The 19627-nt window shown below is 40.8% G+C and overlaps 1 long non-coding RNA gene across 1 annotated transcript in view; it reads right to left on the bottom strand.

Annotated features, from left to right (window-relative positions):
* Positions 1-705: 705 nt before the first annotated feature.
* Positions 706-19627, bottom strand: part of LOC101927284 (uncharacterized) — a 174470-nt gene continuing 155548 nt past the window's right edge. Inside the window, exons 4-5 of the long non-coding RNA NR_110754.1 lie at positions 4980-5054; positions 706-3215 (exon numbers count right to left, since the gene is read on the bottom strand). This is a non-coding gene — a long non-coding RNA (uncharacterized LOC101927284). The remainder of the gene's footprint in view (positions 3216-4979; positions 5055-19627) is intronic.

Raw genomic sequence — 19627 nt, 5'->3', positions numbered from 1 at the left:
CTGAAGATTAATTTTGCTGATAGTGAATAGAAAATTCCTTGGACATAGGTTCTCTATTCTCGGAGAATGAATAGGAGTTTTTGAAGTTCTCTGTTAAGCAGCATGTGCAGCTTTGTTGTGTTGTTGTTTAACCAGTATTAAAAAGTGAAATTATTTTTGGATTTGGCTCCCCTGGGAACATATAATGAGACCCTACTCTTTTTTCAGTCATGTAAAATTAATGTAGTACCTACCCATTATATGGGTAAGAAAACATAGTCTATGAAAAGATGCTCAACATCATTAACCATCAGAGAAATGCAAATCAAAACCACAGTGAGTGATCTCTTCGTACTTGTTAGGATGGCCACTATAAAAAGATTGAAAACAAAAAACAAACAGAAAATAACAAGTGTGGGTGAGGATATGGGGAAGCTGGTATACTTGTACACTGTTGGTGGGAATGTAAATTAGTACAGCCATTATGGAAAATGGTATGGAGTTTCCACAAAAATTAAAAATGGAACTACCATAGGAGTCAACAATCCCTTTTTTTCAAATTTTTTATTTTTTTAGACAGTTTCGCTCTTGTCGCTCAGGCTGAAGTGCAATGGTACGGTCTCAGCTCACTGCAATCTCCACCTGCCGAGTTCAAGCAATTCTTCTGCCTCAGCCAATGATCCCATTTTTGTATCCAAAAAAAATTGAAATCAGAAGCTCAAGAAGTTATCTGCATTCCCATGTTCATTTCAGCATTATTCAAAATAGACAAGAGGTGGAAACAACCTAAATGCCCATCAATGGATGAATGCATAAAGAAAATCTGATACCTATACACAATGGAATACTATTCAGCCATGAAAGAAGGGAATCCTGTCACATGCTGCAACATGGATGGAAATCGAGGGCATTATGCTAAGTGAAATCAGCCAGACACAGAGAAGCAAATACTACATAATTCTACTTACATGAGGTGTCTTAAATAGTTAAACTCATAAAGGCAGAAAGTAGAATGGTGGTTGCCAGAGCCTAAAGCTAGGGGAAATGGAAGAATTGCTGTTCATCAGGTATAGGGTTTTAGTTATGCAAGCTGGAAAACTTCTAGAGAGCTGCTGTACAATTATGAGCTCATAGTTAACAATATTGTACTGCACTCTACACTGAAAATTTTGGTAAAGCCTAGAGCTCATGTTATGTATTCTTTACCACAATAAAAAAGCAAGCAAGCAAGCACAATCAATTCCTGTCTTTAAGGGCCACATAGGCCCTTGATGCCTGTATTCTCTCAACACCACCACATTCACACATACAGATAATTAGTCTGGATTACTTTAGTCTAGCCTGGGCACAGTGGCTGATGCCTGTAATCCCAGCATTTTGGGAGGCCAAGGCAGGAGGATCACTTGAGTTCACGAGTTCAAGACCAGCCTAGGCAACACAGCAAAACCCCATCTATTAAAAAAAAAAATTAGCTGGGCATGGTGACATGCACCTGTAGTCCCAGCTACTGGGGAGGCTGAGGTTGGAGGATCACTTGAGCCCTAAAAGGCAGAGGTTGTAATGAGCTGAGATTGCTTCACTGTGATCGAGCTTGGGTGATAGAGCCAGACCTCATCTCAAAAAAAAAAAAATAATTAGATTACTTTAGTACAGTTTTAGTTGCTCTAGGTTTACTTTATCCAGAGGATGGGAGGTTGTTTTTTTTTTTTTTTTTTTTTTTTTTTTTCAAGGTCTGGCTCAGTTGCCTCAGGTTGGAGTGCAGTGCAGCAATCTCAGCCAACTGCAACCTCTGCCTCCGGGGCTCAAGCCATCCTCCCACCTCAGCTTCCCATCTCAGCTTCCCAAGTAGCTGCGACTACAGGCAGGCACCACCATGCCCAGCTAGGTTTTGTATTTTTTTGTAGAGACAGGGTTTTGCTGTGTGGCTGAGGCTGATCTCAAATTCACGAGCTCAAGCAATCCTCCCGCCTTGGCATCTCAAAGTGCTGGGATTACTGGCATGAGCCACTGCACCCGGCCTCAGAGGATGGGAGTTCAGTGCAGTTGTTTCCATAAAGGGCTGGGGCTGGGGTATTGGTTACATTTACTGGGCATGCTTCAGTAGCTGAGAGAGGAAGTGCAGTATTTTTCTGCTGGTAGATTTAGTGTTGGCCTCTTTCTTTTAACTTAATTGGTGATTGGAGGTGTTTATATTTACCTTTGATCTACTTCTAACAGCTGAGGAGAAGTGACAAATTTTCTGCTGCTCTCTATGTCAAGTCCTGTAGTAATTGTCATCCTGGGACCCACGTTGGATTTCAAGAGGCCCCTGTCCTTCCTTGAGTGCCTCCTGAACTCAAGAGGTATTGTGAAAGGACTGAGCAGGGCTAAGTTCAGCAGATGGAGTTTATCACATTGGTAAAGTCTTCCACAGTGCAGGGTAATGTTTGGAAAGTGTTGCACAGTATGACTCTTGTACATTGGTTTAGGTATATTCCTACCTACACATGTTATAGTTTGCAAAAATGGCCCCAGTCCTTTACCTGTCCCCACTTCATATCGGTGGCCATGTCATTTTTATACCCTTCCATTCTAACACTGGCGTTAGCCATGCAACCTACTTTGGTCAACAGGATATTGAGCTGACATGATAGGAGTAGAAGCTTGAAAAGCACTTGCATCATTGGGTTGGCTCACTCTTGCTCTCTGTCACCTTCCTGAGAAGGACATGCCTGGGCTAGCCTGCTGGATAATGAGCTGGGCTGTCCTAGATCAGCCAGTGACAGCCAACTGGTCCCCCAGACTTGTGAACAAGCCGAGCCGAAACCAGCAAATCTGTCTACCAACTTGAAGCCTAGCCTTTGCTGTTGTAGCCAGATCAGTTTAACCTCATTGACTCATAAGCTGAATGTGGGTTGCTATAATCTATTGTAGTTTTGTGATTGTCCTGTAGCCTTATCGTGGCAATAGGCAACTGATCTATGTGATATCGTGTTGCAGAATGCACTTTCTATATATTTAGGAGACCAGGAAAGGTATGTGGGGTGATGTCTGAAAATTCTCCTGTGAATTTGGACAGTTAGTGGGTGGAAGTGATTGCATAACCAGGTGGGATAGAGTAATCAGAGGCGGAAAAAACCCCTCTGCAAGTAGAAAATATAGAAAGAGCGTGAGAACTGTAGTTGAGTATCTGAATAAATCCAGTAACTGTGCTCCTGTCATCTTCTTAGCTCCAGGATCTCATGGAGGGCTTGGCACTAAGAAGGAAGGAATCGATAAATGTTAGTAGAGCAGAATTGAACATTGACTCTCCTGCTTTATTTTCTATTCAGCACATCTCAATCCCAGTCTATAAAATTCAGAGCCACCTGGCTATATGTAGACATTTCCTGAAATGTGTCATTTCCTTTCGATGGTGGCTGAAAGACTGATTGTTAAAAAACGTATTTAAAAATCACTAAATTAGAATGTTGTGTAATTTAGCTTTAAATTTCTCTCTGCTGAACAAATCCATTTAATGGAGATTATGCAAAATAATAGGGTAACTGTTATTTGATAGCAAGTATTTAAAATATTTAAAAGAACAAATGGTTTCATTCACTCTGGCTTCCAAAACAGGCATACATATCTATCGCTAACATTTGGTGCCTTTGAGGCAACATTTAGCGAATTCTATATATTAAAACACAGTTTATACCTGAAAATAGTTAACTTTATTCCAAAAATGGTTTTATTTTTAAAATAAATGAATTAGATGGCTTTTATTTTCAGCAAGTGCAATTTAGTGAAGTTTCATTACATTTAGAAAAAACGTAATCATGCATTTTTTTGTTCATTTTGGAAGAGGTTTAAAAACTTTAAAAAATTTTGAATTTTATTTGGAAATCTTAAAATTTCCAGAAACACTATCCTGCCTCAAACTACCATCTGATAAGAATTTTTTTTTTTTTTCGACGGAGTCTCGCTCTATCGCCCAGGCTGGAGTGCAGTGGTGCGATCTCAGCTCACTGCAAACTCCGCCTCCCGGGTTCACGCCATTCTGCTGCCTCAGCCTCCCAAGTAGCTGGGACTACAGGCGCCCACCATCGCGCCCGGCTCATTTTTTCTATTTTTACTAGAGACGGGGTTTCACCGTATTAGCCAGGATGGTCTCGATCTCCTGACCTCGTGATCCACCTGCCTCGGCCTCCCAAAGTGCTGGGATTACAGGCGTGAGCCACTGCGCCCAGCCAAGAATGTTATTAGAATGATCTTCACAGGTTATTTTCTCCCATTTGAAAATGGGTTTGTTACAAAAATCGATTTTGTAAGGTTTGAAAACATTGTATGAAGTCACTTTTTCACTATTTTCTTCCCTACCCAACTTGTCATTTCTTAACCTTCTTGTAAGAAGGAGGCTGCCATTGAGGATTCTGGAATTGCAAAAGGTCCTGATTAGAAAGATGGATTAAAAACTTAAATGTAAAACCGAAAACTATAAAAACCTTTAAAGAAAACCTAGGGAATACCATTCTAGACAGAGGTCTTGGCAAAGACTTTATGATTAAGATGCCAAAAGCAACTGCAACAAAAACAAAAATTGACAAGTGGTACCTAATTAAACTAAAGAGCTTCTGCATAGCAAAAGAAACTATCAACAGAATCAACAGACAGCCCATAGAATGAGAGAAAATATTTGCAAATTATACATCTGACAAAGGTCTCATATCCAGAATCTATAAAGAACTTTAACAAATTAACAAGCAAAAAACAAGCAACCCCAGTAAAAAGCTGGCGAAGGAGATGAACAAACACTTTTCCAAAGAACACATACATGTGGCCAACAAACATATGAAAACATGCTTGGTTGGGCATGGTAGCTCACAGTTACAATCCCAGTACTTTGAGAGGCCGAGGTGGGTGGATTGCTTGAGACCAACATGGACAACATGGTGAAAACCCATCTCTACAAAGAATTAGCCAGGTATGGCGGTGCGTGCCTGTGGTCTCAGCTACTTGAGAGGCTGAAGTGGGAGAATCACCTGGCCTGGGAAGTTGAGGCTGCAGTGAGTCGTGATTGTGCCACTGCACTCCAGCCTGGGCAATGGAGTAGAATGCTGTATCAAAAAAAAAAAAAAGAAAAAGAAAAAGAAGAAATGGGGTCCACATCTCTAATCATCAGAGAAATGCAAATCAAAACCACAATAAGATACCATCTCACACCAGTCTCAGTGGCTATTACTAAAAAGTCAAAAAATAACAGATGCTGGTAAGGCTGCAGAGAAAAGGGAAGGCTTATACACTGCTGGTGGGATTGTAAATTAGTTCAGCCACTGTGGAATGTAGTGTAGCTTTAAAACTTAAAACAGAACTACCATTCAACTCAGTAATCACATTATTGGGTGTATACCCAAGGAATATAAATCATTCTACCAAAAAGACATATACATGCATATGTTCATTGCAGCACTATTCACAATAGCAAAGATATGGAATCAACCTAAATGCCCATCAACATAGACTGGATAAAGAAAATGTGATACATATACACCATAGAATACTAGGCAGCCATAGCAAAGAAAGAGATCATGTTCTTTGCAGCAAAATGGATGGAGCTGGAGACCATTATCCTAAGTGAACTGATGCAGAAACAGAAAACCAAACACTGCATGTTCTCACTCATAAGTGGGAGCTAAACATTGAGCACACATGGACACAAAGAAGGGAACAACCGACACCAGGGCCTACTTGAGGGTGGCGGGTGGGGGAAGTATGAGGATCTAAAAGCCACCCATTGAGTACTATGCTTACTATCTGGGTGATGAAATAATATGTACACCAAGCCCCCATGACACACAATTCATCTACAGAACCAAACTGCACATATACACCTGAAACTAAAAGTTAAGGAAAGAAGACTTTTATTTCAACCAGACTGTGCTTTATTCATGTTACATACCTAATATATTTCTATACACATGTGATTTGAGCTAGATCACTGATAAGGGACATTTGTTTAGAGGAAGAATTGTGTATTTGTCCAAATAAATCTTTGAAGATACTGTAAAATTCCATGAGAAAAAAAAGGAATGCCCCAGTTGATTGTATGTTTAGCTCTGTACAATTCACTCATGGATAAATGTATACCCAAATATGCTTTCTTGGTTCATAAAAAGTTTAGCCCAAAATAACAAACCAACCACCCCCTTGATATGGTTTGGTTGTGTTCCCATCCAAATCTCAACTTGAATTTTATCTCCCAGAATTCCCATGTGTTGTGGAGGAACCCATGGGGAGGTAATTGAATCATGGGGGCTGGTCTTTCCGGTGGTATTCTCGTGATAGTTGATAAGTCTCACAAGATCTGATGGGTTTATCAAGGGTTTCCACTTTTGCTTGTTCCTCATTTTCTCTTGCCGCCCCCGTGTAAGAAGAGCCTTTTGCCTCCCACCATGTTTCTGAGGCCTCCTGTGTGGAACTGTAAGTCCAATTAAACCTTTTTTTGTTCCCAGTTTCGGGTATGTCTTTATCAGTAGTGTGAAAATAAACTAATACACCCCTCTATCCAAAATAATGAAGCTTTAAAAATGTACACTCATAATTTAAACACTACTAATTTCATTTTGGTATTTTAATAAGAAGAAACACATGTAGAAAGTCTGCTGCCTTGATATAAATTCAGCACAAGAATGAGAAAATGTATGGAAGACATTTTAAGAGCCTCATTTAATACTTTTAGGGTCTTAGGTTTCACTCCATCAAAACAAGTCATCTAACTGCCTGGAAAGTTAGCAAAATCATTCCTTCTGGTGGGTATGTTTTCTGAATGCCGAAATACTGGATTATAAGATTAGATTTTATTAGTGTGGGCACTAATTCTATCTAAATCTTATTAAACTTCTACTATACCCATAAGGCTTGTTCAAGATAGGAAAACAATTTTAAAAAGAGAATTATAGCAATCACATAGCTATTTGAAAAGAAAGGACTAACTGTAACATACAGATAATTAAGGAAAAATTATTTTGTCCTTTCTAAATTGTCTGGGTAACTATCTTAATTGTCTACCTGGTGTGCCGAGTGACATCTGTCCTGAGGTGACTGTAAATCCCAGATTTTAGAGAAGATAATTCTAGGAGACTGACAGAAGGACTAGGGAGGGTAAGAAATTGGGGACAGAATTTGTGGGAACGGTGATTGCCTTCATCGTTGACTTCCTGGCCCAAGGGGAACGAATTCCACACCTTTATGGAGGAGGGAAGTATTGAGATTGTTTTGAGGGCAATCAACCTAATGTCTTTTCACATATAAAGTATCCTCTCACCTCTGAATGTGCAGTTACACCTCCAACTCCAAGATTAAGATGGAACATAGGTGATATTGTGCTGCCGGAAGCCATTTGTCAGATTCATACAATGAGAAATATCAATGCCAGTGAGATGGAGAACAGCAGATTTCAGCTGCCTAGATACTGCTAAGCCACTGGTTAGACTGATTCATTGATTAATTTTTTTTTATCCCATCTGGCCTTATTTTGGCTTAGCTCAGCTGGCAACATGTGAGCATGGATCTCTGTCGACAGAGTTACTGGAGGAAAAGAGTGAAGTTCTGGACACAGATAGGGATGGGCTCTTCTCCAGTTCTTCAAAGCACTTCAGCTACTTGCTTTGCTCTTTCACAAATCTCTCCCAAAAGGGAATTGCAGAGCACACACAAAAGAAAAAAGGAGCAGAAACAAACCGGTTCCTGTCATCTCTGTTGATTTTTCATTTAGTAGACTTCTTTATGGATTAAAAAACTTTTTTTTTCTGCTTCTTGTAAAGCAGTGTTCATTGGAGCTTGGCCAATAGATGGTATCATCCCTTTCCGAGTCTATGCTATGGGCGGCCTATGGAAGCATATCTGTTCAAGGCATTCATGCAAATTATTACTTACTGCCCTATACGCTCATAAATTAATAGCTTCTCTGTGGATGAAAAACAGAAATTAGACAACCATTAAGGTTGAACAATGTTTAAAGAATATTAAATATTAATATATGAAATGAAAAAATATTGCAAGTGATATCAGCAGATATGCCCAAAGCATAACAAGCCAAACCCAAGAATGCAAATAATAAAAACATGTTTTCAGCTAGATATTCTGGATGGTTTAGTATTCAAATTAAAGTCGATTTTTTTCTCTTTCAGTAAAAACAAAGCAAAGTGTTTACTGCCATTGTCATAGTATATGAGTGCTCATTTTCATACATAGTACAAAAACAAATTTAAGGTGAATAAACTAATAAGGTCTGGGTTATTTTGGTCATTGCGCTTGTGAAAAGAATTTTTTTGGCAATATTAAAAATGCATTGAAAAAGCAGTTTTCATCAGTCTGTGATTTTAAAATCCCAGCATTTTAATAAATAATTGTTGAGTTGACAAGTGCATCCTAGTGACTGCCAGACACTATAAAATTGTTATGAAAATAGGTGGAAGAGTCCTTGGGGTGATAGGGTGGAATAAACTGCTGCTCTTCGGATGAGTGGGCATGGTCACTGGTCTTTGGCAATAAGAAATTTAGGAGGAAAGTTTTCATGACTAGATGTCCATCCTTATGATCCACCATGCTCCCATTTGGCAGACTGGACATCAGGGGTGTTGATCCTGCACAAACGACAAGCTGAAAAGGGTTCCAGCTGAGGCACTGCTCCCGCTTTGAATTAGTTGTGAGGTCTTTGGCAAGGCAACATCTCTCGGCGTTCCCTTCTTCCAAGACCTGTTTCCTCTCTCAGTCCATTCCTTGTTTATTACATGAGGCCAATAAGGCAAACAGATAAAATCTAAACAAGCACAATAATATATTCAATCATTGAGTATTTTATTTATTGCACATTTACTGTCTGCCAAGCACTCCACTAGTCACTGGGAATACAAACTTGAATAATTAAAAAATGATAGCAAACGTTTATATCATACATACAGCAGGTATCAACTCATTTCATCTTCACAACAATGTCATGAAGTAGATATCTCAAATTACCTTTTTTTTTCTTTTACAGCTGATGAAATTTGGGCACAGAGAGGTTAAGTAACTTGCCCAAGTTTACAAACTAGGTAGCAGCAGAGCTGGGACATGAACCCAGACTGCTAGCTCCAGAGTCCACACTCACCACTATACCAGGCTGGCCCTAGACTGTAGTATTCTTTCAGGCCCTGTGTCAAAGATAGATCACTGCAAAATAATGTAAAGTGGTGTAAGAGCATTATGACCCCAGCATCCGTATGCGGACCCTTGAGGAGGGGTACCTAACCCAGCTTGGAGTATGTGTGTGTGTGTGTGCGCTGCTGATTAGGTGGAGACAGGCCATAATCAGCTTCCTAAATGGGACCTCAACTGGGTCTTAAAGGATGGGCAGGATGAGTAGGAAGGGCGTTCTAGGCTGAAATAACCAGAGCAAAGCCAGGATCAGCCTGAATCGTGCAGGGCTACGCAGCTGTAGTCAAGCTGGGAGTGATGGCAGTTGAGGCTGGTGCTGCAGGTGGGCTCAGATCTTAGAGTACCCTGCCTGCCAGGCTCAGGGGATCAGAATGATGAAGACAGAATGGAGATATCAGGCTGTGATGAGTTGTGTAGATTGCTGTGTAGAGAAGACAGGGCAGGAGCAGAGGCCAGGAGGCGGTCCATGATGCAGGCAACTGCTGCAGGAGTGATCTGTGAAGAGGGACATCATGTGTGCCAGTGCTTTTCAAACTTCAACATGCATAAGGTTCACCCCAAGGCATTTGTTTCTGATTCAGCCGGCCGGGCGTGGCGACTGAGATTGTTCATTTTTAACACACTCCCTGGTGATACCCTTGCTCCTGGTACCACACTGCAGGTTGAGTAGCACGGCTGTATGGAGTGTTCATAGGCTAGAAAGATAGCTCGTTTTTCCTCTGGGAAACTTGAGAGATAACCCTAGAGAACAGGTGTAAACTGGCACATCTCAGGGTTGCTGCATCTGATTGCAAGACACCTGCTGTGTCACTGACTGGCTCTAGTTGATCTAGACTCCTTATTCCTGAAAAAATCACATGTGATCCCCTCCTAGGCATTTGTGTTCTCATCCCCCAAGACTTATTTCCAGTCTCTTCCTTCATTTGCTAGGAAAATGGGGCTAAGGAATGAAGGAAGTCAGTACAAAGGAAAGAAAGCCTATGGCATTGATTCCAGGCCCCTTTGAAAAGTGTTATTTGTTTATCTATTAGGCCCCACATTTCCTAAATTGCTTTATTGCATATATGTATTTATAAAAATTCAAGGAAATAAAAATCACCTTAGCTTTGAAACATAACATAGCACCTTTTTGGGTAAATTGAGGCACATCCAGAGGGGTCACAGAAGGAGAGCTGGAAAACTCGACCTTAGAGCTTCACCAAACTTGAATTCAGCGAATTCAGAGATTTTTGGGAGATGTCCTTTTGGGTTTCTCAGGACGCCTTGGGAGTGCCACACTGGCATAGGATCTTTGAGAGTCACAACTCAGGACACTTGCTATGGAAACTGGACATCCTTGAACAACAAGGTGCCCTAGAGGGAGGGAGCCAGAGGCCTCAAAGATGTGAGCACCACATTGAATTCTGCCAGATGTTTACTCTTCATCCATCATCAACAAGAAAATGTGGGTGTGGCTGAAATTAGTTCCAGTCATCTCTGAACAAAAAGCTAGCTGAAACCAAGGAAGACGAGAGAAGAAACCCCAACCCAGGACTGATACTAAAGAAACTCTCATAAGACAGATGTGAAGGGTGGTGGCAGCTGGAATGGTATCAGTCACATCCTAAACATGCCATGGAAGCCATTACCCAGCTCCAAGGACAAATGCACTTCCGCGATTGTGCTGAGACCTGCTCTACTTCCCAAGGTAGTAATTCCATATTACCCCAGGCACAGGGGAGGCCCCAGTGGGCTAACTTCCGGTCATTCTTCAATGACTTATTTTCTCAATTTAAAACAGAAAATTTATTTTATACATATCTTTTCCATTGTGTAAGAACTGAATATGCATTCTAGAATCCATGGGGGAAAATATCCAAGTGGAAAGAGCATCAACTTTTAAATTTTATTTTTATTTCTAGGAAAGTTTTCTAGTCTTAAGTTGCTGGCATTATGGGGATGTGTAAAGTTGCAGAGGAAAAAAGAGGGGGGGAATCTGATGCCTAAAGGCAGTAGAGCTTATTTGAGGCAATTCACTCCACCGTTTTTCCCACTAGGAATTTATATGGCACCCATCATATTCTAAGTGCTTCCTAAGCAATAGTGAATGGGAGGCTAGGAGAGAATAGTTTAAAAATATGCTCAGGAAATCATCTCAGAACATTGAAACTGTGGCTAAAGTAAAGCAGTAGGTAGACTTTCTTCATGCAAATTTAGTGAAAAACCCACACAATGCTGATCAAATCCTTTTTTTTTTTTTTGAAGTTTCTGTTGAGTGTTTATATTTTCTTTCTCTGGGTAATGTGCTACTTTATAACAATTTCTCTTGTTGCTTTGTGCACTTAGGTGGAAGCTTTAAAAAGCAAAGATCCTATCTGTTACTTGAATTTTGTATCTCCTGGGTAGTACATGCTCAAGCTCAGAGCACAGAGAGGTACAAACTAGCCTAGCCCATCTGCTTGTCTGTAAATTTACCAATTACTCAGCTAAATGAATGCTTTAATTCTACTCAGACAAAAAATCTTGTAACTAATTGGACCTCTCCACACTGAAACCCCACATATCTTTCTGTGTTTATTTCAATCAATGAGACACTGGTTCCTACTGCTCCCAACTAACTTTCTATGATTACTAGAGATGAAAGATTCGTGGACATGGCTTGGATCGCAGGGGTTTAGAATTCCCTCAGCCCTGCCACACATACAGATCATTAAAAAGTAAATAATTTACTGCCCTTACACATGCCCTCGATTCTTCTATTCAACGAAAATTCATTCTACAAATATTAATTTACCCACCAGGTAGTAACGCAAAGACACCAAATATTATATCAGCTGGACTCTTCCTGAGTTATTCTGTCAACACAACCCAAACCCAAAGGAAGAGAAAGAGGAACTGAGAAAATTCACTTGAAGAAAGCAAGATGTGGAGCCATCTGAGACTGGGTTCCCTGGGAAGACAGAGACAGAGTGTCATGTACCAAGTTTTACTGGGGAGATACACCTGTAAAGGAGTGAAGAAGGTAGGATTTGACCGAGAAGAAGCTGACCCACAAGGCATTTGCAAATGAGGCCTCAGCCACTCCTTCAGGGAGCTCTAGAGCTGGAAGGCCCTTTCAATGCCCAACATTGAGGCAAGGGTTCTGGCCTTTACATCCTGGCATTAGCCACTCATTGGCTGTGAACTGCCCCCTCTGTACCCCCAGGAGAAAGGCATGTTCCAGTTATGTTTTGCCATGTAACAAACGACTCCAAAACTTAGTGGCAGTCTACCATATCTTGCAAATTTGTGGGTCAGGAATTCAGATGGGACTCAGCTGGTGGATGCTTCATTGGCAAGGGTTGCTTGGTGGTACTGAGCTGGTGGATGGGCTAGTCTGGTCTGGAGGATTAAAGGCAGCTTCACTTACATGTCTGGCCCCTTGGCAGGGGTGACTGGAAGGCTAGGTGCATCAGAGACTCTCAACCATATCATCTACCTGTGGCTTCTCCAGGATGGTGGTTGCAGTGTAGTTGGGATTCTTGCATAGCTCAGGGTTCACAGAGAATCCACCAAAAGACAAAGCCTGGAATTTTCTAGCCTCTTATGTCATGGGCCCCAAAACTGGAACAGTAACAATTCTGCTGAATTCTATTGATCAAGGCAGTCACAGAGCCTGCCTGAAATTCAAAGTGTGTGGGTGGGATTCAACCCCATCTCTCAATGAGAGGAGTAATAAAGAATTTGCTGCCATCTTTAATTCTCCCACAGGGCATAAACTTGGGTGAGGTGATTCCCTGTGGCACTGGGAAAGCCTAGTGAAGAGTGCAGCTGTAAGCCATCAGTAGCTGCTCTCCCCAGCAGCTGGGGGTTGCGTGTGTCAGTTCTGAAGAGGGGACTTGGTGACATGCCACCTATAGCGTCTGCTATAGGAGGAATGGTATTCTTCAGAATTAGCCCTAATGGACAGTTTTCACTGGATTATATCCTGGGGAGGAGAAAGGATTGACAAAAGGCTTGTCTAAGCAATCTCCTTAGTATTGTTCTAAAAGTGGACTTTAAAACCTAGGATGAAGAGAGGTTTGCAGACTTATCAATAAGAACACAGGGTCAGCCCTTCAAGTTTACTGATCTGTGATAAGCACATGTCTGTTGAATGAACCCCAATGGGAGCTGTGCTAAAATCTTTGATCTTTAAGATTCACAGTAAAAAAATGGAAAGAAATGGATTTGAGTGTCTCCAGTTCTTTGGAAAAGTTTATTCTACCTTTTAAAAGTCATAGATTTTTAAAGCTGAGAGACACTAGTGACCATTTAGCCCCATTTTCATTTTACAGAAGAGAGAATATCTCCAAGATCACAGAGCTAGTTAATGGCAGAGCAATGAGTACAACCTGGATCTCCTGTCTTCCATCCTACTCTCTGTTACTCTACATCATGATTTCTAAACTGGAGTTCCTTTGGATGGCATTGGTGTGGTCTCCAAGATGCCCAGGAACCTGGGGCAGAGTTGGTCCAAGTTACAGGATTTCTGACATCTAACTTTTGGTAGGAAGCAGAGACATTTTTATAAGGTTTCTACTGTGTTAAGAAAAGTTTTAAAATAATTTCTCTAGAGAACAGTACAAACTTTCTGTGTGTTTCTCTCTCTTTTTTTCTTTTATGTCTGCATATCCAAGTAACAGCACTTGATGAAAAGATTGGAATTTATTTTTCTTTTTACTTTGGATTTAATCCAGTTCAGGAGACTCTTCTGGACCTGTGAAGCACAAGCCACTTTGCCATTTCTGATAAAAAGCTGAACAAGACACACAGTCCCTGCCCTAAGAGAACTTACCATCTAATTACATCGTTACGTAAAGTCAGCACTGCAGAGGTCCTTGAAGGTCATTATAGCTGCTTACAGATAGTAGGGAGCTGCTGAAGATTCTAGCCCATGGGAGTGTTATGATTAGATCTCTACCTTTTCAGCAAGATAGGGAGGAGCTGCTTCAAGGGTCCAGATGAGCAGGAAAAGCCTGAACTCTGGGGCTAGGAAGGAGGGGCAGATTTATTAGGATATCAACGCTTTAATGGACAGATCCCCAGCTGTAGTTTTAGTTGAACCACATAGCAGGACTTGCAGAGCTGACTACACATAAGATTGTGAAGGCTGCCGGAGACAGTCATGTGACTCCTGCTGTCTCTAAGATCCCACCTTAGGTTAAGTAAAGTGGTCTCTGTTGTCTAGCAGATGCCTAATAAACAGGCTCACCTTTCGGTGGCAAACGAAATCACAGACACAAATTAATGGGCAAAGAAGAGCCCCATTTGTCTGTTTGTGTTGCTTTACAAATGGCTCAGCAAAAGCATCCCAGTGAGCTTCAATCATCCCATTTTCCCTTTTTCTTTTCTCTCATTACAGTCATTATTGGTCACAAAAGGCTGCTCACAAAACAGCTAGTGATTATAATTTAATGCATCCTTTCTGAAACCTGCAGGGAAATTAAAGCAAGGAGGTACCTGGGGGAATGGGGAAGAGAAATGAGGTTAGGTACATCTGAGAGGCAATAGCTTTAAGTGCTAATTCTCCAAAACCTCCCAGCTGGCTGACCAGGCTGACCTTTGACAGCTTGGGAAGGCTGAGGCCACTCCCTTGCAAACTGTGGTGGCTTCTGAACCAAGGGATCCCGGCTGGGGTCCCTTCTCCATCTGAGGAGTCTAGTGATGTTCCTGAACTCTGAATGAACTCCGCAAATGCCTGCCAATGACACGCCAGGATCCAAAGTCAGCTCTGGATCAGGCAAGCAAGTTTGTCTGTTGGTTTGAGCTCGTGGGATCACACAACATCAAGCTCAGAGCTTACCTGCTGGCATTAGCATGCAACCTCACAAAGCACTAAGAATTCAGTTTAGAATGAATTCTCTCTCTCCAGCGCTTTCTACTTTCTCCATCACTGTCCTCCCAAGTAACCTGAAATCAGATCCAAATGATCTGATAATAAAAACCTAAATAATTGACATGAAAGAGAAAGATTCATTTAGTAACTGAAATACATAAATGTTCTTCTAATAGCAGTCAGATCTGATAACAGTGATTAGTGATCAGTTCTGATAACAGTTTTTGCTTTTTACAAAAATCCCAAACCTGCACTGTCTGTTACAGTAGCCACTGGCCACTAGCCACATGTGGCTATTTACATGTAAATTAATCTAATTGAATTGAAAATTCAGTTCTGCAGTCACACTCGCTAATTGCAAGCGCTCAATGGTCACATGTGGTTACTGGCTACCATACTGGAGAGTGCAAACCACAGTGCATATATAATAGTAAAATGTAGTAAAATAATTAAGAAGTGATGAGTTTTGAGTATTTGCTACATCTGTCTTTTAGTACCATATTTAATAGTAAGTTTAAACAATTTAATTGTTCAATAATAATGGTGCTTAAAACCAGCTCACAGAATTCCTGAAAAGGTAGCAGTCAGCTCAGCTGAGCTAGTAGAAATAGTTCCAATGAACCCCTTGAACATTTTTATCATCAGAAAGTTCTATTGGACAGTGTTGCCTCAAACAATGCACCAGCTGACCAATGCGGCAATAGAAATATCCAGAATGAGAATGAGACCTCCTTTCTCCACGCCCCCAATTGGCAGCAAAGATAAAAGACTTTAAGAATCCTAATCTTCCCATCAGTCCTTGCCTTTCTCAGACCTAAACCAAATTCCTTGACCTTTCTTTGCAGAAGAGAATGCACACTTAATTGTTTTAGAGTGTTTCATCATCCTCTCAGATGCTTTGCAACAAATCTCTCCTCTAGTGCACGCCATAAACCTCTTCTTCCTTCATTTCCTCTCTTCCTCTGACTGTAAACCTATATCTTTTTTTTCTAACTTCATCACAGTAAGGCCCCAGGCCCATGATTATCAAAGTCACCTTCCAATTCACCAGCATCCTTGGTGTTTTACATAGAATTCAGGACAATGCTGCAGGCTGAAACCTCACCAGAAATTTATACAACACCATAATGTTCTTCTGATTCCCCAGGCATTCTTCCGTTGATTGGAGCCTGGGATCCATTTGCTTTCTCCAGATACCACAGCTTTTTTTCCTGGGCCAGAGAATTCAGAGTGAGGTTTGTTTCAGAATAGAATAAGAACACAGAGGACTCTTTCTTGTTGGCAAACCAGGACAGAATCTTCTTTTCTCTTCTCCAAGAAGAATATACTCAAGAGAATATTCGCAGGAGGTGATGTCATTGATTTTCATTCTTATTTTGACTCAAACTAGCAAATGACATTTTGGTACTGAAGAGGAGTGTTTCCAGGGAGTAGGGCCAGAGTGGGGATGTGTTGTTCTAGAGCAAACTCTGACGCTGTCTGTGCAACAGAAAATGCCAAGGAGCTTTTACAAAACAGCAAACCTCCAGCCCTAACCCTTATAGACTGATTCAATTAGTCTGGCCCTGGCATCAATATCAAGAAAAAAATTTTGAATTGTGATAAAGTATACGTAACATAAAATTTACCATCCTAGTCATTTTTAGGTGTACAGTTCAGTGGCATTAAGTACATTTACCTTGTTGTGCAATCACCAGCATCCAACTCCAGAACTCTTTTTTTCAATTATTATACTTTAAGTTCTGGGGTACATGTGCACAATGTGCAGGTTTGTTACATACGTATACATGTGCCATGTTGGTTTGCTGCACGATAACTCTTTTTATCTTGCAAAATTAAAACTGTACCCATTAAAAAATAACTCCCCATTCCTAGACCCTCTCCCCCGGCAACCACCTTTCCACTTTCTGACTCTGTGAGGCTGAGTATTCTAAATACCTCACATAATTGGAATCATACGGTGTTTGTCTCTTCATCACTGACTTACTTCAGTCAGCACGATGTCCTCGAGGTTCATCCGTATTGTAGCATGAGTCAGAATTTTCTTCCTTTTTAAGACTCAGTGGTATTCCATTGTATGTGTATATTGCATAATGCTACTATGAACATGGGTATATAACAGAGATGGGTGTACTGTAAAGTAGGTAGGGCAGATAGAATTCACCCTATTTTATTTTATTTGTTTTATTTTATTAATTTATTTATTTTGAGACACAGTCTTACTCTGTCACTCAGGCTGGAATGCAGTGGCGTGATCTCGGCTCACTGCAACCTCTGCCACTTGGGTTCAAGCGATTCTCCTGCCTCAGCCTCCTGAGTAGCTGGGGTTACAGGCACCTGCCACCGTGCCTGGCTAATTTTTGTATTTTTAGAGAGACGGGGTTTCACCATCTTGAACAGGCTGGTCTTGAACTCGTGATCTTGTGATCCACCTGCCTCCGCCTCCCAAAGTGCTGGGATTATAGGCGTGACCCACCCCGCCCGGCCCACCCTATTTTATACATGAGAGCCATGTAGTAGAGGAAATGGCGCCTTCACATGTGCAGGTAAAAAGATATTTTTGCTACCCTCAAAGGTGAGCAATTTCCTGTCTGAAGAGAAGCCTTAAGCTTGAGTAGAATTCTTGCCTTTTAAACAATTTTAACCTGCCCAATTATGTGTTTCAAAACCAAACTTTCTATTTCACTGCCTTATACAGAGCTTTTGGTCAAGGGTTGGTGGATGTATGTTTGTCATAATCCTCTTTGAGAGGTGAACCATATTACTTTTCTCTTACATTATATTAGATGCTAAACATTTCTCACTTATAATAAAATTTATTTTATAATAAGTAGGAAATTATAAGCCAAAATGAATATTTAATAATTATCAGAACCACCTAAGGATGTGATTAAAGGCACTGAGGGATTAGAAATGAAATGGAAGCAGGGCAAATCAGACACCTTCAAGGGTCGCACTTTCATGGACAAAAATTATCTGAAGGAGTTTGCTGAAGTGCCTTTTCCTTTGCTCTCAGAAGCCTTATCATATAACTAGTCTCAGGTATGTGTGAGAGGGCCCTGCAACATTTCTCAGCTCATTTGAATGTCACAGTCTTCCCAGAGCCACCACCCACCAACACGGGCACCTTGGACAGCTCTTCCCCAGGGCCTGGAGCAGGACCTCTCCTTACAGAAGCCCAGCCTGTTTTCTCTTGTTTGCTCTGACCATCCTGCATGAGGTAGCTCTGCCACCTCCCTGAGACTTTGCTCCACAAAGTAATAATCTCACCACCAAAGCTTTTCACTCAAATCACTCTCTTCCAAAGCTGTGCTTGGTTGGGAGCTCAAATGAATCACTTGTTACAGGGAAGAACCTGGAAACCAATGGGCCAACCTGCTAGTAGGTCTTCAGATTGTAGATTGGAGATCAACAACTTTTTTATTTGTAATAGTAATTTTAAAATTATTATAATGATGATGATGATGATGATTATATCTACCCGTAGGGTTGTTCAGAGGATTAAATAAGAAATGCTTATGAAGTATTTAATACCATGACTGGCATGGGATAAACTCTTAGTATTATTAATAAATATTGCTAGTGAAGTGTGTGCCACATCACCTTAATGAGGCTAAATTGTGTTAAGGCCAGGATTGGAATCTACACCTCTGTGCCCTACAGCACCCAGAAACAGAGTAAGTCTTCAATAAGTACTTCGACAGGAGCACATGTTGCCTCTTTCATTGTAAAGAGAAGGCAGAGCTTGGTATCGAAAATTGCTAGTGGTGCACCTACCCTAGACTAGCTGCAACATCTTTCTCTGTCTGTATCTACTCCACTGGGATAGTGGGAAACTAAAAAGAACTAATATTCATCCAAGTATGTGGACTATTTAAATCTTATAAACAAGCAAATGACAATAGCAACAAACCCACCATTCCCACTGACTGCCCCTTCTTACATCTGTTGAGCCCTCATAAGGTGCGTAGCATGGGAGCAAATGTATTTACCATGTATTGGCTCATTCAATTCTGCCCCCGATCCAATGGGGTAGGAAGTATCACGTTCCCCATTTGGCTGATAATAATAATAACAATAATAATAATAATAGTGATAGTTAATATTTACTGAGGGCTTTACTAGATGTCAGGCAATGTTTAAGATATTTTATTAGTATTTATTCATTTAACATTAGCAGCCTTTTGAGGTGACAATTCTCTTTCTTTTTTCCTTTTTTCCTTCCTTCCTTCCTTCCCTCCTTCCTTCCGTCTTTTTTCTTTTCTTTGTGCTTTATTGAGGTATAATTGACACATAATAAACGGCACGAAATAAAGTGTATAATTTGATAAGTTTGGGTGTATATATACATTTGTGAAACCATCACTACCATCAAGATAGTGAACATATTCATCACCTCCAAAAGTTGCCTTGAGCCTTTTGAAATCCTCATTCCTGTTCCTTTCTGCCCCCATCCATACACCCAATGAATGGCCTGCTTTCTGTCACTCTACATTAATTTGCATTTTCTACAATTTTCTACAAATGGAATCACACCTGTTGCACTTTTTATCTGGCTTCTTGTGTTCAGCGTAACTATTTTGGGATGTTGTTGTGTATGAATAGTTCATTCCTGTTGATTGCTGAGGATTAGTTTATCATATGGATGTTCCACAA

This window comes from Homo sapiens, chromosome 13 (assembly GCF_000001405.40).
Source record: "Homo sapiens chromosome 13, GRCh38.p14 Primary Assembly".
Lineage (NCBI taxonomy): Eukaryota > Metazoa > Chordata > Mammalia > Primates > Hominidae > Homo > Homo sapiens.
This window is presented reverse-complemented; position numbering and strand designations above follow the sequence as displayed.